General features: G+C 42.5%; 2 long non-coding RNA genes across 5 annotated transcripts in view; one reads left to right on the top strand and one right to left on the bottom strand.

Annotated features, from left to right (window-relative positions):
• LOC102724087 (uncharacterized) overlaps positions 1–175 on the bottom strand; it is a 55,176-nt gene extending 55,001 nt beyond the window's left edge. For all 3 annotated transcript variants that reach the window (NR_187755.1, NR_187756.1, NR_187757.1), the window contains exon 1: positions 82–175. This is a non-coding gene — a long non-coding RNA (uncharacterized LOC102724087). The remainder of the gene's footprint in view (positions 1–81) is intronic.
• LOC105378093 (uncharacterized) lies at positions 4–26,240 on the top strand. Of its 2 annotated transcripts, none has more exons than XR_943196.1 (3): positions 4–86; positions 10,356–10,434; positions 25,814–26,240. It is a non-coding gene; the product is annotated as an uncharacterized LOC105378093 (long non-coding RNA). The 2 variants fall into 2 exon arrangements; XR_943195.1 differs by lacking the exon at positions 4–86 and adding an exon at positions 8,498–8,605.

Here is a 26,240-nt window from a genome sequence, read left to right as displayed (position 1 = left end):
TGTCGCCGCCCAACTCCTTTCTCCTTTCCCCGCAGGACTACCTTTCCTCGAGTGACAGCCCTGCTCTCCTCAGGAACTCACCCCTGGTAACCCCTTCTCTGTCCTCGCCATCTACGGACGCTCTCCTGTGAGCACTGAAATGCCGTCTGCACTCCCGGGGCCTCCAGCTCCTTCTCTTTTGACTTCATCGCAGACACATTTCTTCAGAGTTATCCTAATGTACTGTTTCCATTTTGTCTCCCACTGATTCTTCAGCTGTGACGCTGTGGTCTGAATGTGTCCCTCAAAATTCACGTCTTACAAACTATTTTTTTTTTTTTTGAGACCGGGTCTCACTCTATGGCCCAGGCTGGCATGCAGTGGTGCAATCTTGACTCACTGCAGCCTCGACCTCCTGGTCTCAGGTGATCCTCCCACCTCAGCCTCCCAAATAGCTGGGACTACAGGTGTGTGCTACCACACTCAGCTAATTTTTGTATTTTTGGTAGAGACAGGGTTTCCCCATGTTGCCCAGGCTGGTCTCAAACTCCTGAGCTCAAGGGATCCACTCTCTCAGCCTCCCAAAGTACGGGATTACAGTGTGCCCTGCCTGACATGGTACAAACTTAATCCCTCATGCAACAGTGTTGGGAGACGGGGACTTTTGGTAATTTAGGCTGATTAATGCTGTTTTTAAGTGAGCTTGTGGGAGTGGGTTCAGGCTCTTTCACTGTCCCGCTGTGTGAAGACACAATGTTTATCCTCTTACCCTCTGCCTTCTGCCATGTGAGGACACTGTAATAACTGGCACCTTGATTGGGGGCTTTGAAGCCTCTAAAACTGTGAGATGATACATTTCTGTCCCATATGGGTTACCCAAGCTGTAATCTGGGTAATCCATAAAGGACTGTGACTCTTTGTTACAGCAGCACAAACGGGCTGAGACATATGGCATGGCTTCTCTTCCTACCCCTCTACTGACTGTCATCACCAAGCTCAGTGAGCATTTTTTAGTCCTTATCTTTCTAAAAGGACATCTTGGTAGAGTGGGGACTGGAGCTCTGACAGTGCTGGTGATCAGGGTTGGGGAGTCTCTCCAATTGATTTACAGTTGAGGCTTAGATACTGTTTTAAACTTGGAAGGAACCTCCTAACCATCTAAACACAGCTACTGATTCACCTGGTGGGCCAGAGCAGTCTGCCTGGGAGAAAAATACTGAGAAGCCAGCTCTCTCATGACTATTGAGGTGCAGGGATATAAAATCTTGTACAAATTGGGATGGCTCTGGGCCAAGATCAATTTGTTAGAAACAGCCAGGCTTCCTGAGAGAATGTTCCATTAAGGGGAAAAGGAGGTTGGCTGTGCGTGACCAGGCAGTTCTCTCCCTTGGGGTCTCTCGTGAGCTTACTGTCAGATGGTGGTACAGCCACAGAAGTGGCTCCATACCATATGGCTGGCTGTGCCAAGCACTCAGAGGTCTCCCCCAACACCATGATGTCAGGTTGGAGGGACTACTGGTTTGAGATAGGAGGTGGGACGAATGCCAAAAATCCATGCCAACCCTGCAACCACAGTGCCAAAAAGCTCATCCTTCAGCATGCTTTGTGGAAGGATTGAAGGTTTATGGCAATTAAAGATTGCAACACTTTTGAGTCCCAAAAAATCTGCGTGTGATTACACCCCCGACTGAACATGATGAGGGGCTATCCTCTGAATTAGCAGAAGCCTAACTTGCTGTGTGCAGTGGCAGCCACAGCTTATTGCTCTGGTACCACCTGCCATAAATATACAAGTTGTTTTACCTAACAAAGAGACAGTGATATTGGGGGTTCATGCCACCACTGACCCCACTGGCCAGTGGGAGAAGACTAAGCTCTGGCTCAACCTTCAGTAGACACAGATGTTCTTGAAGCTATTTGGGCAACAAAGTTCAAGGATTTCATCTGTGTCAAGGTGGGAGACGGAGGGATTTTAGGGGGGCAGTTTTGGCAAGCTTTGGAAGGGTATGAATTATAGAACAAGAGTAAATAGAGACCAATGTACAGGGAAGCTAGTAATGCTCAGCCTCAGGGCCCCTTCCTTGCATGAATCCAATGGCAGATTGTATTTTTCAAGATGGCAGCCACATGTACTCCTTCTTACAGGGTGAGGTCCATATGCCTCTTATGGAAAGGTGGGGTCTATGTGTTCTTCCCTAGAATCTGGGCAGGCTTGTGACTCTGATGCGGATGATGCTTGAGGATTTCCAGGCTAGACTATAAAGGAGAATTAGCTTCAGCCCAATTCTCTTGGAAACCAACTGCCATTCTGCTAGGAAGCCCAGACACATGGAAAAGCTCTGAGTGTTTTGGCCAATAGTCCCAGATGAGGCTCCAGCGACAGCTGGGTTCACCCATGAGATGTGAGTGAGGAAGGCTTTGAAATGGTTTCAGCCCTAGCCACCATCCGACTGTATCCTCTTGAGATACTTCAAGGAAGAGAATCACCTGGCCAAGCCCAGCGGACCTCCAGAACTGTGAGATAAATAAAACAATTCTTATTTTAAGCCACTATATTTTGGGATGATTCATCCCATAGCAATATACAACTTCAACAGGGTAGCGATAGACAACTTCAACAGGCCCCTTCTGAGGCTCTGGAAGGGCCCTGGCAATGTGTCCATTTGGTCATTTACTTTGGTCAAGTTTGCAAAAGCAGACATTTTAACTGTAATTGGCTAAAATTCTGATCTCTTTCTGCCCTGACTTGCTCTCCACCTCTTCATGTTGAGTGGTCGAGTGGATGTGGGCATTTTTGGGATCCAGGAAAAGAGGAATTGAGTTGAGTCATTGAGTTTGGGTTCCATGGGATTTATTTATGTGGTATGGAGTCACTTCTGTGTACATTTGTAAAATGGCTTTCAGAATAGTCTTAGCCTCCCTTGTGCTGACTTACGTGGTGGTGTAATGTAAATATGCATGATTGTGTCATATGACATGTGGATTTGCAGGGACATGGATGGAGCTGGAGGCCATTATCCTTAGCAAACTAACACAGGAACAGAAAACCAAATATCACATGTTCTCACTTATAAGTGGGAGCAAAATGATGAGAACACATGGACACATAGAAGGGAACAACACACACTGGGGCCTATTGGCGGGCAGAGTGTGGCAGGAGGGAAAGCATCAGAAAAAATAATTAATGAGTACTAGGCTTAATACTTGGGTGATGAAATCTGTACAACAAACCCCCATGTCAAAAGTTTACATATGTAACAAACTTGGACTTCTACTGCTGAACTTAAAATAAAAGTTAAATAAGAACAATAGAAATGTACAAAGCTAGAAAAAAGTCTAGCTCTAGCTCCTCCCCTCTGGGAATTATTCCAAATCTTACAGCTCCTACACAAAAATAGTTTGGTGGAGGTTTTCCTAAATTTGCCAAGAATCCTGAAAACTTATCTTTCATTATCAGTCATGAGTTATGCAGCTGAAAGACAAATTTAAATCCATCAATAATAAAATACTAGAGGCAAAATGGATTATTATTCTTCTCTCATAGAATATGATATTACAACATTATTGAAAAAGCAACCAAAGAATACATGGCCAAAAATGTTGGGAAAAGAGTATTACAGATATGGGTCAGGAATTTGTTTAATTAAAATATGCTATTTTACTGAGTTTTGTATATATTTGGTTGTAGCAGTAGCCAGAGTAGGCTTTGCCAGGAGCTTGGGCCATTAGATTGTTATTATTACAGTTATGTTGGGCTCATTTGCCCTTACCTGCTGGCACACACGGGGTATATCTCACTTTATTTCTCACAAGTCTTTGGTACCCACCACCACTCCCACCTTTTTACAATTTTCACTTTCGCTGACTTCTCTGGACTTACACTGTCAACTTTCCCCTCTGGCTAACTGTTCTCAGTCATTTCTACAGAATTCTCTTCTTCTGGGTCCTTGTGTTGTTGAGGGATTTACCGCAGGGCTTCTTTTTCTCTCTCTGGGCAAGCTCATCCACCCCCATTGCTTCAATCCCACCTACCTGCTGAAAACTGCAGATTCCACATCTCCAGCTCAGACCTCTTTCCTAGGCTCTAGACCAGGAATTGGCAAAGTTTTTCTGTAAAGCGAAAGATAGCAAATATTTTATCGTCATTGTACCATCTCTGTCACATCTGCTCAACTCTGCTAAGGTAGGGCAAATGTAGCTACAGACAATGGTAAAAGAATGGGTGTGGCTGTAAATAAAACTTTATTTTTTAAAATAGGGGCTGCCCCATGGGCTGTAGTTTGCCAACCCCCTCCTCTACATCAGGATATCCAACACCTTTATGGAAATTTCCACTTGGGATTTCACAAGTTCCCAAACATAACATTGTCCCCAGAGAAATTCATCTTATTTGCTCCTATGTGTTCCTTCTTAATGAATGATGTCACTATCCACCAGATGTTCAAGACAGAAATTCAGGCAGCATCCTTGATTTCATTCCCCACTTCAATCAGTCACAAAATCATGTCAATTCTACTTTCTCAACATCCCCCTAATCCATTCCCTTTTCTCTTTCTCCACTGCCTTCCTTCAGCCCCTTTCATCTCTCACCTCCTACCCTGTGCTTCTTCTAATCTCCTCATCATGCTACAATCAGAGGGATCAGGCCACCCTTGGATTTTAAAAGTCTTCAGTAACAGTAGTCCCTGCCTTTTTTTGGTTGAAGTCTAAGCTTCTTGAAACAGAGTGAGAGGCCTGGACAGTTGGACCATTTTCCCATATTAGCCAAATTCCTCTGATCTGTCTGCACCTCCTGCCTCTGGGACCCTGCATATGTATTTCTTCTGCTTAGGGAATGTGTAGCTGCTGATCAGTAACTATCTGAGGCCAGTATCCCATGGGCAGTAAGAAGAATTTACCAAGACAGTTGTAGATAAAGAAAGGCAGATTTATTAAAGAAAGTATAAAAATATGTTGCAAGGGAGCAACGGGCAGGCCAGCAAGAGAGGAGCTGACTGCCAAGAGACAAAGGCTTGCTGGGGGTTTTATAGGATGTTGCTTGTATTGCGTGCTGAAGAGGGCTTTGTGCAGTACTGTGCTGAAGAGGGCTTTGTGTGGTACTGACAACGCCAAGGTTGCAGTGGGATAACCTGCATTTTTCTATCAGCTGAGGGCCTGGTGATAGCTGGGCACAGGAAGATTGTGAGTTATTTGTGCAGGAGGGCTATGGTCCTGGACCATGAAGGAAGGCAGACTTACAGCTCATCTGCTTACTCTTTCTGTTTTCCCTCAGTCCCACCAGCCTGACTCCTTTTGCCTAATTAGGACTCCTCGGAATTCTTCTCCTTTCTCATCCCTCTGGCTGTCTTCTAAGTTTCAACTTGGGTGTCACTTCCTCTGGGAAGTGTCTCCTCACCTCTAAAGACTGTCTCTCTGTGCACAACTATAACAAATGGGACCTGGGCCACTTCACTTTTACAATTCCAGTTTACAGACCTGCATTGCCCCAAACCCATGAGACCAAAAACTCCCTGAGGGCAGAGGGGGCCCCTTATTTACTCTTGATTCCCCAGCACCCAGCACAGCACTAAACACTGTACCCACTGAAATAATATCTGAAGGATGAGCGTTTATAGCAAAAGTGGTTTCCACTGACATTCCCTTCTCTCCTCCCCAGCTATGGATTGCAGCACCCAGGAGCTGGTCAGGCTGCAGGAGGAGAGGAGGAAGGCGAAGTCATTACTCAGGGCCTCTGTTTTGCTGATGTGTGGAGATGGTGGGTCTCCCTTGAATACCTGGGAGGCAGGAGCAGGCATGGACTCCTCCAGTCTCTGGGTTCTGGACTCTGGGGGGCTGCTGCTCTCTGGCACCCATCAGTCCTTAACCATCTGGCCTCCAGCCAGGGAAGGAGTGTGGTGGTGGAGAGGCCTCTCTGTCCCACCCATGTGTCCTCTGAGCTCACGAGAATCAGCCGAAGGCTGAGTTCCACACCCTGAGTTAGAAGTTCTTTTACTGTGGACTCTCCCTGGACATTGGGAATTCTCTTAACTAGTATGGAAGCAGTTACATCATCCTAGGTCCTCCAAAAATAGGCACATGTATCTAAATATAGGCACATATAAATGCAAATACATACATATACACATACATCCAAATACATAATTTTTGTTTTGAAATAATTATAAACACAAGGAGTTATAAATATAGTACTGAGAGGTCCCTGTACCTGTTGCCCCACCTTCCCCAGGCAATATCTTATGTAACTATAGTTCATGATTAAAACCAGGAAGTTGCCATTGGCACAATGTCAGAAACTAGTCCTGAGACCTTGCTCAGATTTCATCATTTTTGTGTGTGCACTCATTTGCTTTTCTGAAAAGATTTAAATGTTTTCTGCATGACTGGTCTCCTCCACATAGTGTGAGATGGGATTTTTTTCTGAATGAGCTGAGAGATCAGTGAATGTGAGAGATGGGAAGGATGATTGGGTGCATCTCTGTTTTATTCATGGTGGGTCTGGAACTTAGGGCAGAAGGACCCTGGTTTCTCCTCTGGTGAGTCCTGGTGCCGCCTCAGTGCAGGCTACTAAGTTATCTGGGACTGAGTATCTTCTTCTCTGCTAATATTTGTCTTAAGCATGTAACACGTCTGATGAGGAGATGGCCAATGAAAATTATTTTTTTCAAAGATGAATAGGTATCTAGACTTTTTCAAGCACAACTCAATTAAAAATATATCACTTCACTGAGCCTCAAATTAGTCAGGGCTCACTTAAAAAGTGTCCTCTAGTGCCAGGCAAAGTGCCTCACACCTGGGATCCCAGCACTTTGGAAGGCTGAGGTGGGAGGATACCTCAAGCCTGGGAGTTCAAGACCAGCCTGGATTACATGGCAAAACACTGTCTCTACAGAAAATAAACACACACACACACACACACACACACACACACACACACACACACACACACACACAGCTGGGTATGGTGGCATGTGCCTGTGGTCCCAGCTATTCTGGAGTCTGAAGTGGGAGGATCACTTGAGCCCAGGAGGTTAAGGCTGCAGTGAGCTGTGTTTGTGCCACTGCACTCCAGCATGGGTGACAAAGACAGCCTGGGTGACAAACACTCCAGCATGGGTGACAAAGACAGCCTGGGTGACAAACACTCCAGCATGGGTGACAAAGACAGCCTGGGTGACAAAGCCAGCCCATCTCCAAAAAAAAAAAAAAAGAGAAAGAAAAAGAAAGTGTCCCCTAGTGGATTACATTTTAACCACTGTGCTAACTGAGCCAGCTATCTCTTTACCAGACATGAGAGCTGATAAGCGTCTCATCACATGGCCCCAGGGACTGATGAACAAAGGCTAATATGTGGAAAAGGGCAACTAAAGAAAGAAGGGCCACCTCCAGGTTAATTAGTACAAGTCTCCTCGCTGATATGCCCTAATACACTGAAACAGCCATAAAAACAATCTGCACATTGGCATTGAGGACACAGATAAACTTGCATAAATCCCTTATGGTGTCAGAGGGATGCTTTGTATGAGTCCTTAATAGATTAATTAATAGGTTAATTAAGTTCTTGCTGTTTTCATTTGGAAATGATACTGTCCTCTTGGGGCTATTCAGAGATGTTCATGGTGATGAAACGAGCTGGCCTGGAATGGCAGTTCCCAGGTAGCAGAGCCTGGGCTTGAGGAAGGTGGAACGTGGGTGTGGCAAGGAGCTGGCAGGTGCAAATGTCAGGCCAGCAATGCAGTCCAGCCTGCACGGACGTGCGTCACCTAGGAAGTTGTGACCTGGCTGCAGTTTCCACTTCAGGTGCGACAGAAGGGTGAACTCCACCTCACCTCCTGGTGAGGTTGACCTTTCCTTGTATTTATGACTCTTTCTTTCTTCTTTCTTCCTTCCTTTCTTTCTTTCTTTCTTTCTTTCTTTCTTTCTTTCTTTCTTTCTTTCTTTCTTTCTTTCTTTCCTTTCTTTCTTCCTTCCTTTCTTTCTCTTCTTTCTTCCTTCCTTTCTTCTTTCTTTCTCTTCTTTCTTTCTTTCTTCTTTCTTTCTTTCTCTCTCCTTCCTTCCTTCATTCCTTCCTTTCTTCATCTTTCTTTTCTTCTCTTTCTTTCTTTCTCTCTCTCTCTCCTTCCTTCCTTCCTTCTTTCTTTTTTTCCAGGTCTTGCTCTGTCACTCAGGCTGTAGTGCAGTGGCACAATTTTGGCTCACTGCAACCTCCATCTCCTAGGTTCAAGTGATTCTCTTGCCTCAGCCTCCTGCGTAGCTGGGATTACAGGTGTGTGCCACCATACCTGGCTAATTTTTGTATTTTAATAGAGATGGGGTTTTGTCATGTTGGCCAGGCTGGTCTCAAACTCCTGACCTGAGGTGATCTATCTGTCTCCGCCTCCCAAAGTGCTGGGATTACAGGCATGAGCCTCCACGCCCAGCAGTGTTTATGACTTTCTTTGTAAATACTTGCAAGGAATGTACCATTTTAATGTTGTAAGAGACATCCATTCTTTCATAACAGGACCTCAGTGAATCTTGATTGCAGGCCTCATGCTGGGCAGAGCTAAGGAAATTCAATTTGTCTCCAATCTTATTTGAATATTCTTATGCCTCCTACAAGTGCAGCAGCAGAATCTCCACAAATCTGGTGCGTGAAAGTTTCCTGTAGTTTCTTTAGGGTAGAGAGGCTGGGGAAGGGTAGAGACTGATTTGTACTTTTTAGATGTATAGTTGATCCTTGAACAACACAGATCTGAAATGTTTTGGAGTTTTGTTGCAATTTGAAAAATACTCAAAGACAAACCATGTAGCTAGACATATTGAAAAAATAAAGAGAAAGTTATGTATGTCATGAATGCATAAAGTGTATTTAGATACTTAGTCTATCATTTACTACCATTAAATATACACAAAACTATTACAAAAAGTTAAAAGTAATCAAAACTTATGCACACACTCACAGATCATACGCTGTGCTATTCTCAGTCGAGAGAAGTGTAAACAAACATAAAGATGAAGGATTAAATTGTAACTGCATTGGCTGGGTACAGTGGCTTACGCCTGTAATCCCAGCACTTTGAGGGGCTGAGGCAGGTGGATCACTTGAGGTCAGGTGCTTGAGACCAGCATAGCCAACATGGTGAAACCCCATCTCTACTAAAAATACAAACATTTGCTGGACGTGGTGATAAGTGCTTGTAATCCCAGCTACTCCAGAGGTTGAGGCAGGAGAATTGCTTGAACCCAGGAGGCAGAGGTTGCAGTGAGCTGAGATTGCGCCACTATACTCCAGCCTGGGCGACAGAGCTGGACTCTGTCTAAAAAAAAAAAAAAAAAAATTGTAACTGCATAAACTTAACCATAGTGCACACTGCACCTCTGTAATAATTTCGTAGCCTCCTCCTGTTGCTGTTGCAATGAGCTCAGGTGTTGCGAGTATCCACCTAAAACGTTCTGTGATGCTGAACATCCCGACTTGAGCAGTTTGTCTCAAGTGAATTGTGCACCACGGTAAAAAGTGCCCTCTCCCTGTTGGCATGTATTTTTCCTCCTGTTTTGTGCAGTACTGTAAACCTTGAATAACACCATGGGATCCATATGAAGTGGCACTAGTGATGCTGGAAGTGCTCCCAAGAAGCAGAGAAAAGTCGTGACATTACAAGAGAAAGTTGAATTGCTTGATACGTACTGGAGGCAGGTCTGCAGCTGGGGTTGCTTCCATTTCAGACAGACAATTCATCTTGTAAACAGGCAGTGTAAACTTAATGTACAGATAAATACAGAACAGTACTGTAGATGTATTTTCTCTTCCTTATGATTTTCTTACAAACGTTTCCTTTTCTCTAGCTTACTTTATTGTAAGAATACAGTATATCTTACATATAACATACAAAATACATGTTATTAACTGTTGCTGGTCAACAGCAGGCTGTTAGTAGTTAAGTTTTTGAGAGTCAGAGTTATACCTGGATTTTCTACTGTGTATGGTCAGTGTGCCAACCCCCGAAATTGATCAAGGGTCAACTGTAATCCTAAAAGAATCTAATACAATATTGTACACAGTAAGTGGTCAATAAATAAGGAATTGAACTAATAAGAATACATAAATCTCAGAATATGTGCAACCTGATCGTAGTACACAGAGATATCTCTATATATGTATCTCTTTTCTCAGTTCATGCCGTTCTTTCAGGTAGGAAAGCGCCTTATTTTGAATTAGTTGTCTTTAGAGCAAAAATCCCTCTAAGAGTGCAGTGTGGTTTCCTATGCACAATCTGGAATAGTCCATTGTTTCATGCCTACCCTGGACATGAAGGGCCATGCCATAGCGGAAGTTTCTATGCACCCACACCTGTCTATACCTGAGCAACACATTCCTCTTTGCTGCTCTCTTACAGGCTACAGAGTGCGGTGGCGCCAGCACAGAGCTCTGCTCAACGTCCCTCTGTGCTTTCACGATGCTGATGGATTATGAAGGTAGGGAAGAATGTACAGCCAGGAGGCCATTGAGAGGGCAACTAATTTATAAAATCACATTTGTAGAATTGAGTGCATCCAACAACTACCAGGGGAAAGTTGGGCAAAAGCTATACCAACACCACCCAAGTCAAAACCAAAATGACAAAAAAAAAAAAAAAAAGAAAAAGAAAATAATGTGGATATAGAATTTCTGATAACATCATTCCTGAGGTGCCTTATCCAGGGAACTGCTAAAATAATATTTTAAGTTGAAATGAACACATACTAGAAACATTATATGTTAGTTGAGTCTGTTTTTTTTTTTCCCAAAGTACTTTCTCAAACACACCAACCTTAGCCCTCTAAGAAATACATCACATTAAAAATAAAACGTCTGCCCACTGCTGGTTTCTCAACTTGCATCCACCTTCTGTCCCCTTTAATGAACTGGACCACGAGGTGAGTCAGAAAGGATAAAGGGAGTGGTAAGAATTTGAGGAGAGAAGAGAGTGAGGCTAAAACAGGAAATCAGGAAAAGCGATTAGGTCGCCCCATCCCTCACCTGGGGCCGCTCTCTTGTTGCCCAGCGTGGTTTCTTCTTGAGGGTTCTGCATGGTTCCTCAATCCCAGGGAATTCCGCAGGACGTTCCACCCAAGACCACTGGGCTCCCACCTCTACTCTTTTGCCAGTTAATGAATAGGAAGGAATTTCACTGCCTGGAAAGAGGAATGATGCTTTCTGGTCCTTATTTCACACCTAAAATAGAAAGGTCAATTGATTTATTCCTAAATATCTTTGAACACTAAAATAGAAGTTTTAAAGCATATATACTACCTGGTTGCTCTAGCCTTACACCAGGGAAAAGTAAAGATTCAACAATTAAAATTAAGATGGACACTTCCCACTTAATGCTACCACTCTTGCTTTATTTTGTGAGAATGAGAATATAATAATGCACCATAAAGTCATTTGGGGGAAAGATTAATATTTTATAACAATGTATAATTACAGAAAACATGAGTTTTCTGGGAATAAAGAAATTTTGAAGATAATAAAATATTTTCACTTATGTTATAATTTCGACACAGTTTGGTATTGGAGGTGGATATGCTAACGTGTACACATAGCTTAAGTTTGCAACCTAAGACCTGAATGGGTTGTGTCTACCAGCTGCACCCCTGGTTAGGCACAAAACCTGTGGAAGGCCTCAGCTCCCTCCTTGTACACCAGGGATGAGAACAGCACTGCCTGTTCGGAAGCTTGAAATAACAAACAAATGTGGCATCACTCATTTGTGTCATGTTACTCTATATAAAGGTATGTTTTTTCCCTCAGGCTTCAAATAAGATTCTACTTTTTATCTTTGATTATGGACAATTTAACTATAATGTGTCAAATAAATCATAGTTCTTCTTTTTAAAATTCTATATCTGATCCACTGAGCTTCTTGACTATGTGAATTTGTCATTCTCTCCATGGTTAGAAAGTCCTCAGCCATCACTGCTTCAAGTACTTTTTCTGTTCCAATATCTCTTTCCTCTCCTCTGTGACTTGCTTTAAACATATACTAAATGTTTTGATATTTTCATAGATGTCCTTAAAGCTCTGTTTATTTATCTTCTCAGGCTTTGTGTGTGTGTGCTGTGGTTTGCACTAACCTAATGTTTTCTAGCTAGCTTTATCTTTAAGGCCATCTAGTGATTTTTCTCATTACAGAGATGCCTTTTTTTTAGTTCTTTACTTTTGATTTGGCCCTTTTATAATTTTTCTTTCTCTTGATATTGTTCATTTATTCATTTCTTGTTCATGTTTGCTTTAAATCTTTGAACACAATTATTATACATACATTTTAAGTCTCCTTGCCAATTCCATTATTTTTATCATTTCTGGGTCTATTCGTGTTGACTGGTTTTTCTCCTGGTTATGGATCACACTAATGCTTTTTGTATGTCTAGCAAATTTTTAAATTTATATCACACATTGTGGATACCACATAAATGAGCAATTTGATTTTGTTGTTTACCTCTAAACAGGTTTTCTTCTGGCGGGCAACTAATTTATTGTGAGATCACTTGGAAAGTTAGCTTGAAGAATGGGTCAGCTAAGAGAAATTTTAGTTGACTATTGTCCCTCTTATGGCTAACATGATAGAAATACGCTTTTGGATAGTGCAGTAAAATCCACCGGTGCCAGTGTGGGGTCATAGAGGACCAAGACTGACATGTTCTTCCTGTGATATGGTGAAAAATTGCCTCAATAGCTCTGTTCATCACCTTGGTAGCACTCCTGGACTGCAGGACTTTGCTCAGCTGGTGCTGAAATTTAAAAAGAAGAAATCAAGCTCAGTATTGTCTACAAAAAAAGAAATGTGAAAAAATTTATGACACATGAAGCAGAATAATCTGAGGATTAGCACTTTTCACGCTTCTATATTAGCACACAAATCAAAATGTAAAATAAAAAAACCAATAGATGCAAAGGATTCTAGAAATTTAGTAAGTTGTCATAAATATTTCAATTAAAATCAGGGAATGAAAAACATATTAGAGTACCTATAATTCAAAATTGCACTCATGTGCATGCTCTTTTGCATAGACCTCCTCTGGGTGTTCATGAGAAAAAGGCAGGAGACCAGTGTGGCATGCATCAGGCTGTACAGGCTGTAGGTGGTGAGACTGGCTGTCAGTGGGGGGCAGACATGAAACCCTGGCCTACTTGCCTAGACCACTGCTCCTCCAAAGCCAAAGCCTTCAGCTTCTGGGGGATGGGGCAGGAAATGGTCCTGCATCTAGGACTTGCAGGCAAACACACATTGTCTCTCAGTGAGAGGTACAGGCCCAAATTTTATTCCCTTGGAGGAGAGACAGGGAATCTTGGGCCCAGGATCCTGCATTGCAACAAAGCAGATGTCCACTACTTTTCTTCTCAAAGACTAACACAGATACAACTTCTGTGAAAAGGCGGGGCAAGAATACCGAGAAATTCCTCCCCTGAAAGCCTAGGTGTGCAGGGCCTGCCTAAGATGGAGGCAGGCTAAGAAGATGGAACATTTGCTGGGTATGCACTACTATGTAGACCCAAGACAATGAGGAACAAAGGAGGTAGTGTTAGGTTTCTCAAGGATGACAGGCTCAGAAACTGCATTCCTCCGAATCGGCAAAGCTGAAGATTGCAACGAATGCTGCCCAGTTGAAGAAATGCCAGGAACGGCTTATGATGGGCTTGGTTAATCATCACAACTTTGGCAGGAGGTTAGAATATCCATTTTGGCTAGGACACTGAAATGATCTGTTGAATAACCAGGGGAGTTGTAAGTCCAGCGCCCTGGAGGGTCTGCATGCTTCCTAATGACACCACCCTCTCACGGGGTGCCAAACATCACAGCTCTGGTTCTCCCAGAGAAGGCGCTGAGGCTTCCTTCCCATTGGCTGACCCTGAGTACACATTCGACTTCCCGTGCCGCTTGGAAGTCTTCTGTATCACTAAGATTTTGCAACTTTTTTCATCCCAATGTCCGAGGGTGTGATTGTCTGGCCACATACTTCTTACCTGGTTCAAAAGGAGTCTCTGTGCTTGGAATTAGGACCACAGTGGGAGTCATGAGGACACTTGATTCTGTCACCAGGCATTGCATCAGGCTGCAGTACTCCCACCTGACACTGGGACCCATGGTGTAACTCCAAGGGTGAATCTCAGCATCTGGATTCTTGCAGTTGTTCCTGGTCAGGCTGCTGCAAATTCCAAAACAATACAGGTCACAAGAGTTGGGAGAAGATACAAGGGCATCTGGCACCCTCTATGTTTTGCTGTAACAAAATGTTAACAAGCGACTTTGAAATATTCTCACTAAAGGTCCCATAACATGCACAAACAATCCTCAACTTCAAAACAACTGTGAACATTTCAAAGACAGATTATCATTCTTATTATAACACATCCAAAGTCGTCTATGCTCCAGAAGAAAACTGAGAGAGAACATCAATGTGTAAAAGAAAGGATCAGAATACCCTCTTTCCACCTTCTGCCAAATACATTCCTCCAGATTAACCGAGAAAGACTTTGAGGTGTGTCTTGTATTGTTTTATGCATATACAAATGTACCTCCTTCTAGCTCTCTGTGTCTCTCTACAGGACTATGTGATCTATTAGGCATCTAGTTTGCTGATTTGTTGTTCTCCTAAGGAATTGGTCCATATTATCTATGTTCTTGAGTTGATAACATACAGTTGTTCTCAATATCTTCTCAGCTTTCAGACCTGGAGGATGCTACAGCAATGGTGCCTCTCCTGTTACTCCTAATGGCGATGGTTGTGCTCCCTCCTGGGTCTGTCATCTATTTAGCCAGATTTTGGACAATCATATGGATCTTTTCAAAGAACCAACTTTCTGTTTCATGGATTTACTCCCTTGATGGTCTATTTTCTTGTCCACTGGATGTAATTAGTTTGGATTATTTCCTTCCATTCACTTTCCTTGAATCTTATTTGCTTTTCCTTGTCTAGATACTTAAGCTGTGATCTTAGATCAACAACTGTCAAGTGTTTGCTCACAGGACCCCTTGAGACTCTTACGAAGTATCAGGGATCCTAAGGAGCTTTCATTTTTCAATATACATGACGAGTATTTATTGCATTAGAAACCAAAACTGGGGCTGGATGTGGTGGCTCACACCTGTAATCCCAGCACTTTGGGAGGCCGAGGTGGGTGGATCATGAGGTCAGGAGATCAAGAACATCCTGGCTAACACAGTGAAATTGGGTCTCTACTAAAAATACAAAAAATTAGCCGGGCATGGTGGTGGGCACCTGTAGTCCCAGCTACTCGGGAGGCTGAGGCAGGAGAATGGCATGAACTCGGGAGGCAGAGCTTGCAATGAGCCGAGATCATGCCACTGCACTCCAGCCTGGGCGACAGAGCGAGACTCCATCTCTTAAAAAAAAAAAAAAAAAAAAAAAAAAAAAACCCAAAACTGGGCTGGGTGTGGTGGCTCATGCCTGTAATCCCAGCACTTTGGGAGGCTGAGGCGGGTGGATCATGAGGTCAGGAGATGGAGACTATCCTGGCTAACATGGTGAAACCCCATCTCTACTAAAAATACAGAAAATTAGCCAGGCATGGTGGCACGTGCCTGTAGTCCCAGCTACTCGGAGGCTGAGGCAGGAAAATCGCTTGAACTGGGGAGGTGGAGGCTGCATTGAGCTGAGATCATGCCACTGCACTCCAGCCTGGGCAACAGAGTGAGACTCTGTCTCAAAAAAAAAAAAGAAAGAAACCAAAACTGAAAATTCTTTAACACAAAAAACTGATAATCACCCATTTTCTTAGCCATCAGAGAGATGATGCCATTACATATTATGGAGCCACTGGAAAACTCCACTGTACCACTGCTAGAATATGAAAGTGAAAAGGGCCAATAAATCTTCGTTTTCTCAATGTAAAGTGTTTTAGCCTTATTGACTCTCTCTGAAGGTATCTCAAGGGTCCTCAGGTTTCTCCAGACCACACTTTGAGAACTGCAGTCTGAAATCATTGATTTTTACATGTCTGTTTTCTCCTAAGAGCATCTAACATTACAGAAAACCCTAAAAACATTCATTGCATCCTACAAGTTTGGATAGATTGTGTTCTTTTCTGATCCAGTTCACAGCTTTTCTAAATTCCTTGGTGATTTCTTCTATGTCTCAATGAATATTTTGAAATGTGCCTTTTCACGTCCAATTCTTTGAGAAGTCGGCAAACTTTTCCTTATTCATACATTACTTCATTCTGTTGTGTTCAGAAAACACACTCTTTAATTCGTTTAAGTCTATGGAGACTTGCTGAAAGGCCACATGTAAGGTATACCTCAGCGAATGCTCCATGCACACTTGAATGTGTATTCTGCAGTTTGGCATAGTGTTTAGTAGGTCAACATTTTGTGAAGGGGATAATAGAATTTTGCCTGATTTTTTGCATATTTGTTCTAGTCTATTGTGTTTGGGGAAGATTTATAACTACAGTGAAAGAGAAGCAAGGACACCTCTAACTCCGATTATTGGCTTATCTATTTCTCTCTTGAGTTCTGTCAGTCATTGCTTCATATATCAGATGGGCTCTTATTCGGGTACAACACATTTAGCCTTGGTACGTCTTCATGGATGAACCCTTTTCACTCATGAAATGTCCTTCTGATCTTGGTCTTATTTCTTGTCCTGAAATCTCCTTTGTCTGATCTTGACATTGCCACTCCAGCTTTCCTCTGCTTCACGTGTTCCAGGTATAGCATTTCCATACTTTGGTTTTCCATCCAGCTTTTCCATTTAAAGGGCTCTGATTGTAAAAGAACCTCAGCGGGCTTTGCTTTTTACTCTACTCAACTATCTCTGCCTTTCATATGCAGTGTGTCATCCTTTTTCATGGAATTCACTTAGGAGGGGGCTGAGTTTCAGTCGGTCAGGATGCTATGCATTTTCTGCCTGGACCTCATCTTCTTTATTCTGTACTCTTCCTTTCGTTCCTTCTTTTGGATAATGGAATAGTCTAATTATTATATATTCCTCTATGTTTTAATGCTGGTGGTGGCTCTAGGACTCACAGTATCCCTCTCGGACCTACTGCATTCAACCACACATTAATATTACCGAACATCATGGATAACATCACAAACATACAACGGTATAGTTCCATGGATTCCCAACATTATTGATGCTACTGTTTTCAAACTTTTACCTTTACATATGTTAAAAAAATACATTGCTATCATTTTGCTTCAATGAGTCGATCTGTCAAAGACATTAATAAATTAGATGAATATAATCTTTTACATTGAACTTGACATTTGCGATTTCCAGGCTTCTTCATTACATAGTATGGATTAAGGTTTTTACCTGGTATTATTTTCCTTCTACCTAAATAGCTTTCTTTAAGACCTTTTCTTTTTTTTTTCTTTTTTGAAACAGAGTCTCGCTCTGTCACCCAGGCTGGAGTGCAGTGCTGCGATCTCAGCTCACTGTAGCCTCTGCCTCCCGGGTTCCAGTGATTCTCCTGCCTCAGCCTCCTGGGTAGCTGGGATTACAGGCATGTGTCACCACGCCTGACTAATTTTTTGTATTTTTAGTAGAGATGGGGTTCCACCAGCCTGGCCAGGCTGGTCTGGAACTCTTGACCTCAGGCGATCTGCCCACCTCGACCTCTCAAAATGCTAGGATTACAGGCGTGAGCTATCATGCCTGACTTTAACACCTTTTTTTTTCTTTTTTTCTGTTGAAAGGGAGTCTCCCTTTGTTGCCCATGCTGGAGTACAGTGGTGTGATCTTGGCTCACTGCAACCTCCGCCTCCAGGGTTTAAGCAATTCTCCTCCCTCAGCCTCCCAAGTAGCTGGGATTACAGGCATGCGCCACCACACCCAGCTAATTTTTTTGTATTTTTAGTAGAGATTGGGTTTTGCCCTGTTGGCCAGGCTGGTCTTGAACTCCTGACCTTAAGGGATCTACCTGCCTTGGCCTCCCAAAGTGCTAGGATTACAGGCATGAGCCAATGCACCTGGCCCTTAACATGTTTTCTTATGGGAACCTGCCAATCAGACGGGCTTTTAGATTTTTGTTTGTTTTTTTGGGGGAGGTACAGAATATTCCTTTGTATAAATTCATTTTCAAGGGATTTTTTTTCTGGACATAGTGTTCTAGGTTGATCTTCTGTTTCTCTTTTGTCATTTTAAAGATGTGATTCCATGGCTTCTGACTTGCATTGTTGCTGATGAGATGGCATCAGCCTTTTTCTGTCACTGTTCCTCTACATTAAAGGCTCTTTCCTTCCTCTGGCTTCTAGAAATGATTTTTCTTCTTAGCTTTGAACTGGGACAATTTAACTATGATGTACTCCAGTAGAGCACAGACTTTTCCTCTTTAGAATTCTATATCTGAGTCATTGAGCTTCTTGACTCTGTGACAGTTTCTTGTTTTCTGGATATTTGAAAAGTTGTCAGCCATCATGGCTTCAAGTATAATTTCTGTCACAGTATCTCTTTCCTCTCCTTCTGTGACATGCTTAACATGTATATGAAATGTTTGGATGTTTTCATAGATGTCGTTGAGGCTCTGTTGATTAGTTGGTTCAGTCTTTGTGTGTGTGTGTGTGTGTGTGTGTGTGTGAGAGAGAGAGAGAGAGAGAGAGAGAGTGTGTCTATCCTGTGGTTTGTCTAGTTTCTATTGAATTATTTTCTAGTTTACTTTTACTATTGTAATGTCTAAGGTGATGATAAGGCCATCCAGTGAGTTCTTCCTTACAGATTGCCTTTTCTCAGTTCTTTAATTTCTATTTGGCTCTTTAATTCTTTTTCTTTCTCTTGATATTCTGCAATTGTTTCTCTCATGGTCAGGTTTTCCTTACATCCGTGAACACAGTTCTCATAGGTACATTTTAAATATTCTTGCCAATGCCGTCATTTCTATCATTGCTGGGTCTGTTTGTGTTGAGTGATTTTTCTCCTGGTTATGGATCACACTAAATGCTTCCTGTGTGTCTAGTAAATCTTTAATTGAGGTCACATATTGTAGAGGAAGCCACATAACTGAGCAACTAGACTTTGTTCCTTAACTCTAAGGAGGGTTGAGTTTTCTTCTGGAAGGCAGTTAATTTACTTGGAGATCATTTGGATCCTTTTATAGTTGCTTGGAAAAAAGTTTGCTTGAGTGTTTCTGGAGTTGCCTTTACTCTAGGAATACAATGATCCTACTCCCACAATATGGCTTTCTTTGGTTTCTAATGAATGCCCAAGTTGTTCATTGAGGTGTCTCTCTCAGAGTGATCAGAACTCAAATATCCCCCAGTGCTATGTGAGCTCTGGCATCTCCATTGAGCTCACAGTTCCCCTGCAGTTGTTGTTTCCCCAGTAGCTGTCCTTTATCCTCCTTTCTTTGTGGAACCTCTCCCTGTGCATACGCAGCTTTCTATTTAGCCAAAGCCTTGAGGAGACTTCTATACATATTCCTGGATCTCCTTTCTCCATAAATCCCTTCTCAATCTTAGCCAGCCTAGAACACCTCAGCTGCCTGAGGCATCACAAACTTCAGTCTCTCTCCTCAGTTCAGCGAGACTGCTATGGTCGGCTTGGGCTCCATCTTCTTGCCCTTCCGTCCAACAAGGGTCTCCAGGAAGAATGCCAGGCTAATGATGGGGTTGATCTCCTTTGATTCCCTTTCTCAATTCTCTTAGGCCTATCATGTCTATTGTCCAACCTGTAAAAACACTTTTCCCATGTATTTGTTAATCCTTCATGGCAGAAAGCCTGGCATGGTCAGAAATGGGTTTCTGTCCATCTTCCTGCATGTGTAACTCTTCAGAATCTCTATATTTCCTAACTCTCAGCAGCCTTCCTACTTTTGCTCCTCAAGTCCTGGCAACACACAGCTCTTCAGACACCTTGTGCTCAGGACCCAGTGTGTTTGTACAGGTTAGAGGAGAAACTGATTGGAAGATCTGGATGTCAATATAGATATCCTTTACTTGGGACCCAAGATGAGAATGGCAAACACAACCTTCACTTCAGGGCTTGGAGATTAGAATGACAGAATTCCCTGGTTGAATGATCACATTGGTCTTTAGTGGGCATTGTGGAATGGTACTATTTCTAAGCACGTAGTCATGTGTTCTCCTGAGCTTTCTGTTCATGGGACCTCACCAGCCTGCTGCTTCTGTAAACTATTAGGAAAGAAAGCCAGCCTGAGATTTCTCTCCTCTCAGACCCTGTGCCCAAAGAAAGAAGCCTGAGACATTCTGCCCAACACCCCAGGTCAGAGAGAAATTTGGTCTTAAAATGTTAGCTGGAAGCATGGCTCTTCCAAGAGAAATGTAAGTGGGTGGCTGTTTCTCTTAGGGTAAAACTTGAAGATATACCCATTTGGGTAGTATTCTGTGGTCCTCTGATGCTGGTGTGGTGTCACAGAGGACCAAGACTGATATGTCCTTCCTGTGACAGTGGTGGAGAATGATCCTCAATCCATCACCATGGTAGCAGTCCTGGACCCTGCGGCTTTGCTCCGTCGGTGCTGAAATTCAAAAAGAAGAAATCAAGCTGGGTAATTTCGAGAACAGAGAAGCATGGAAAGAAATCTGTGACAGAAACAGGACAGTCTTCTCTGAGAATGCCAACTATGCTCTGTTCTATATTAGCAGGTAGATGGACATGCCAATAAAAAAAAACAATAGATTCATAGCATTCTAGAAGCTTAAGGAGTTCTTAGAGAGATTTTCTTTAAAACCTGGACACCATAAAACAGATGAGAGTGCCTATCAGTCACAGTGGCTCTCATGCACATGCTCTTTTGCATAGACCTCTTCTGGGTGTTCATGAGAACAAGGCAGGAGACCAGAGTGCCATGTATCAGGCTGTGCAGGCTGTAGGTGGTGATTGGCTGTCTTGGGGGGCAGACATGAAACCCTTGCAAATTTTTCTATATCACTGCTCCTACAAGACCAAACTCTTTCAGCTTCTGGAGGATAGGTCAGGAAATGGTCCTGCCTCTAAGACTGCAGGCAACCACCCTTTGCTTCTCAAGAATGGGTAGAGGCCCAAATCTTATTCTCTTGGTGGAGAGATGGGGAATTTTCTAGTGCCCAGCATTTTGCATTGCAGCAAAGCAGAAGTCTACTACTCTTCCTCTTTAAACTCACCACAGATACAAGTTCCATGAGAAGGAGGGGCAAGAACACTGAGAAATCTCTCCTTTCAATGCCTACTTGTACACAGCTTGCCTAAGACTGAAGTTGTTCCATGAGATAGTGCATTTGCCTTCATCCACCAAAAGCTGGGCATTCAGTAACAAGAAACAGCAGAGTATCTGTAGGGTTAGTTTATGTGTCTGAAGCTATCTCCTCTGCAGTGCAGGCATGCAGTGACTGCTGAAATCTGAGAATCGATTAGGAACACTGAGAAAACTCCTCAACATCCCAGGCCCCACTCTAAGCAAAATATATTAATAGTAGCCCATCACTGGAGGAATTTAAACCCTTGGTGCACTTAAGATAAAAGTAGCAAACCCAAATCCCAAATTCAGCTCAACCAGTGACTACATTGACTCAATTACCCACAATGTATATTTGCAAGAGAAGAAGGGTGCCCATATCAAAGTATAAATAATACTTACTGCAATCTCTACTGTTCTTCCATTTATAATGTCTAGTGATTGATTAAAGAATGACAAGGCACACCAAAAATCCAAGGGGGGAAAAAGGCACTGTTGAATAATAAAGCAATCAAGAGACCCAGACTCAGAGAAGACCCCATCTGACAACTATCAGATTGAAATTGTACGATACTTACGTTAATATGTTAAAGGATTTTGTGGTAACAGTGGACAGTATGCATGGATAGGTAGAGAATTTCAGCGAAGAGACGGAAACTATAGAAAAGAGTAACATGAAAATGCTAGGAAGAAAATTGTAATATCAGAGATGAAGAATTCACTCAATGGGCTGAGGAGCCAACTAGATACAACTGACAAAATAATCCATAAACTTGTACATATGTTACTAGAACTCATCCAAACCAACACACAAAGAAAGAAAAATAGTTACTGAAAAAAAAAGCAGAACAAGCTTATAGGAATAATGAAACAACATGGATGTTCTAACACTGGGGTACTTAGAGTCCAAAAAGGAAAATACAGAGAGAAGTGGAAAAAGAAACATTTGAACAGATAATGGCTATGAATTTTACAAAGACAATGAAAATCAACAATCTACAAATCCAAGGAGCTCAGTAAACCTCAAGCGGAATAAAAACAAAAATTAGTAATAAACACATCAGAGTCAAACTGTTGAAAATCAAAGATAAGAAAATCTTAAAGACAGTCAGAAAAAGGAACTGTTGAATACATAGGAAGAAATACCAGATTTCTAGTCAGAAACCATTTAAAACAGAAGATAATGGAATATCATCGTTAAAGCAAGGAATGAAACTCTCAACCTAGTATCTATATTCAGCAAAATTACGTTAAAAACTGAAGGCAAAATAAAGACTTCTTCTGACATGCAAAAGCTGAAACTTCAGCAGCAGCAGATCTGTGCTACAAGAAATGCTAAAGGTTGTTTTTCACAGAAAGAATCTGACAACAGATGGAAATTGAGATCTACCCCAAAAGATGAGGAGCACCAGAAATGGTAAAATAAATTAAGAAGGAAATATTTAAAATATGTTTATTCATAATCACTTTAAAATGCAACTGACCATTCAGTTAATGGTCACACAATTAATGTATTGTGAGATCTATAACAAAGTGGATGTTATAGATCTCTGTTAGAGACAGCAATAGCACAACATTTTGGGAGGGAGAAACTAGAAGCACAAGGATGTAAGGTTCTTATAGAATAGTATCATTTCAAGGTGGAATAGTATCATTTCAAGGTGGAATGTGAAACATCAAAGATGTATATTGTAAACATTGAGGAAAATATTAAAACCGTTAAATATTAATTTAACTCATAAGTAAATGGTGGAGATAAAAGGCAATCATAAAAACACTTAACCCAAATGAGGCAGAAAAAGATGAAAAAAGGAACAAAGTTTAAATGGGACAAAGAGAAATAAGTAACTTGATGGTAGATGTAAATTCAACCCTATTAGCAATTACTTTAATGCAAATGGTCTGAGCATCTCAATTTAAAAGCTGAGAAAAAGATATATCTAACAAATACTAGTGAAAATAGAGCTGTGAAGACTGTATTCATATCATCATAAACAGAGTTCAGAACTTCAGAACAAGGAATGTTCCCAGAGATAAGAAGAAACATTACATAATGATAAAGGGGTCCTTTCATCAAGAAGACATAACAATCCTAAATAAATACACATGTGCCTAACAATAGGGTTCAAAATATACAAAACAGAGTTATGATCTAAAAGAGAAACAGACTAATCTACAGTTAAAGTTAGACACATCACCATTCACCCTTGGGAGTCAATAAAGGAGAAGACAGACAATCAGTAAGGATACAGAAGGAGGAGACAGACAATCAGTAAGGATACAGAAGAACACCAGCAACCAACTTCACCTAAATGACCTTGAGAGAACACCCCACCCAACAACTGTAGAAGACACATTCTTTTCAGGAGCACATAAAACTGGGTTTCAGACCAGCCTGGCCAACATGGTGAACTTCGTCTCTACCAAAAATACAAAAAATTAGCTGGGTGTGGTGGTGCAATCTGTAATTTCAGCTACTTGGGTGGCTGAGGCAGGAGAATCGCTTGAACATGGGAGGTGGAAGTTTCAGTGAACCGAGACCATGCCACTTCACTCCAGCCTGGGCGACAGAGCAAGACTCTGTCTCAAAAATAAATAAATAAATAAAAAGGAACTGAGTTGCAGAATCAGTAAAAAAAAAACCTACCAACCAGAAAAAGCCTTGGACCAGACAAATTCACATGTAAATTCTACCAGCCATATAAAGAAGTGCTTGGACCAAGACTACTGAAACGATTCCAAAAAACTGAAGAGGAAGAACTAACTCATTTTATGAGGTCACCAGCATCATTCTGATGCTAAAGCTTGGTAGAGACAAAACAACAAAGAAAACTTCAAACCAATATCCTTGATGAGCATAGATGCAAAAATCCTCAATAAAATACTAGCAAACTGAATTCAGTAGTACATCAAAAAGTGAATCCACCACAATAAAGTAGGTTTTATTCCTGGGATTCAAGGTTGGTTCAACATACACAAATCGATAAATGAGATTCATGACATAAATGAAACTACATCCTCGAATATGTATCTTAAGGACGGTTGTCTTTTACACTATCTCATTGAGGTTCTCTGAATTTCCTGTGTTTGTATGTTGACCTCTTTAGTGATATTGGGGAAATTTTCATGGACAATATCCTCAAATATGTTTTCCAAGTTGCTCACTCTCTCTCCCCTTCAGAGACACCAATGAGTCATAGATTTGGTCTCTTTACATAACCCCATATTTCTCAGAGGCTTTGTTCATTTTTTACATTTCTTTTTTATTTTATTTATTTATTTTTTTAGACGGAGTCTCGCTCTGTCACCAGGCTGGAGTATAGTGGCACGATCTCGGCTAACTGCAACCTCCACCTCCTGGGTTCAAGTGATTCTCCTGCCTCAGCCTCCCAAGTAGCTGGGACTACAGGCATGGTGCCACAACGCCCCGCTAATTTTTTTTTGTATTTTTAGTAGAGATGGGGTTTCACCATGTTGGCCAGGATGGTCTCGATCTCTTGACCTCGTGATCCACCCACCTCGGCCTGCCAAAGTGCTGGGATTACAGGCGTGAGCCCCCGCGCCTGGCCACTTCTTTGTTCTTTATTTTTGTCTGACAATGTTAATTTGAAAAATGGTATTCAAGCTCTGAGATTCTTTCCTCAGCTGTGTCTATTCTGCTGTTAAAACTTCTGATTGTGCTATGAAATTCTTACCGTGAGATTTTTTAGCTCTACCAGATAGGCTTGGTTCTTCTTCAAATGGCTTTTTTGTCTGTCATCTCTTGAATCATTTTACTCACTCCTTAGATTCCTTGGGATGGGTTTCAACTTTCTCCTTCATCTCACTCAATGCTCTTTGTTGCCACCCAGATTCTGACTCCTATGTCTGTCACTTCAGCCATTTCCTTCTGGTTAGGAACCATTGCTGGGGAGCTAGTGTGGTCATTTGGAGATATGGAGACAGTTTGGCTTTTAGAGTTGCCATTATTCTTGTGCTGGTTCTTTCTCATTTGTGTGGGCTGATCCTTTAACTGTGATGTAATTTGAGTACAGTCAGTTGACTTCATTTCTGGATGTTTTCAGAGGGCCAAAGTGGTGTGCAAGGTCTTTATTTGTGGCTAAGTTTCCATCCATGGTTTTACGGGGGAGTATACTAACAAAGTATTTTTGATTTTAAAGTTTGGGCTGCAAACTCACAGATGGCTCTTAAATGGCCTGTGAGTGGGCTCTTGCTCAGCCACATGGCTCCTCTGTATTTCCTCGCATTTGGAGCCATGCTCCCTCTCAGTACCCTGAGAATGCCAGCTCCTCTCCCACTTGAGTGCTGGCTGCAGATCTCAGCTTAGCACTCTTGGGCTGTGCACCGCAGCCCTGGGGCAAGCTCAGGCTTTGTGTTCGCTCCACAGCTTGGGGGCGGCAGGGGCAGGAACTTTGTCAGTGGCAATGGGAGTGGGAGTGGACATTTTGCCTGTCCCTTGGGGCTCCACTCCAGAGAAACTTAGAGCTACTGCCAATTGGAAGAATCAGCCCAGGGTGTGGTGGCTGTGTTGTGAGCCCAAGCCAGCGGGCCCTGCCTGGTGAGGAGTGGGGCATCAGGGGCATGCGGGGAAGATACACTGGCCTGTTTTCCATAGGGTGGCTGGGGCATGCTGGCGTGTGAATAAAGCACTCACGATCTTTATTCCTTCCCCAGTCCACAGACAGCAAGGGCAGTATCACTGCAGTGGCAGTCGCAGATGGACTTTCAGTCGCCTCTAGGAGCTCCACCCCACAGAAACACAGACAGCAGCCAGTGGAAATGTTCAGCTGAGTGTGAGGTGCCTGCACTGTGGGCCCAAGCCAGGAGCCCTGCCTGGTGAAGAGTAGCAGGTGGGAGCTCACAGGGAAGAGAGACTGAAATTCTTTCCATATATCCCCTGCTGTGTGCTGGAGGCATCAGGGAAGTGACCAGGTCCCTTTGTTCCTTCTGCAGCCCAAGGGCAATAAGGGTGGTATTGCTGCAGCTGCAATGGCAGAGGGGCTGTGGGTTGCCTCTGGGATTTCCTCCCCAGAGAAGCACACAGCCAACACTGACTAAAATGTTCAGGCAGGGCCAGGGTGGCTGTGCTCTGCCCAGTGAA

This window comes from Homo sapiens, chromosome 6, assembly GCF_000001405.40.
Source record: "Homo sapiens chromosome 6, GRCh38.p14 Primary Assembly".
Lineage (NCBI taxonomy): Eukaryota > Metazoa > Chordata > Mammalia > Primates > Hominidae > Homo > Homo sapiens.
This window is presented reverse-complemented; position numbering and strand designations above follow the sequence as displayed.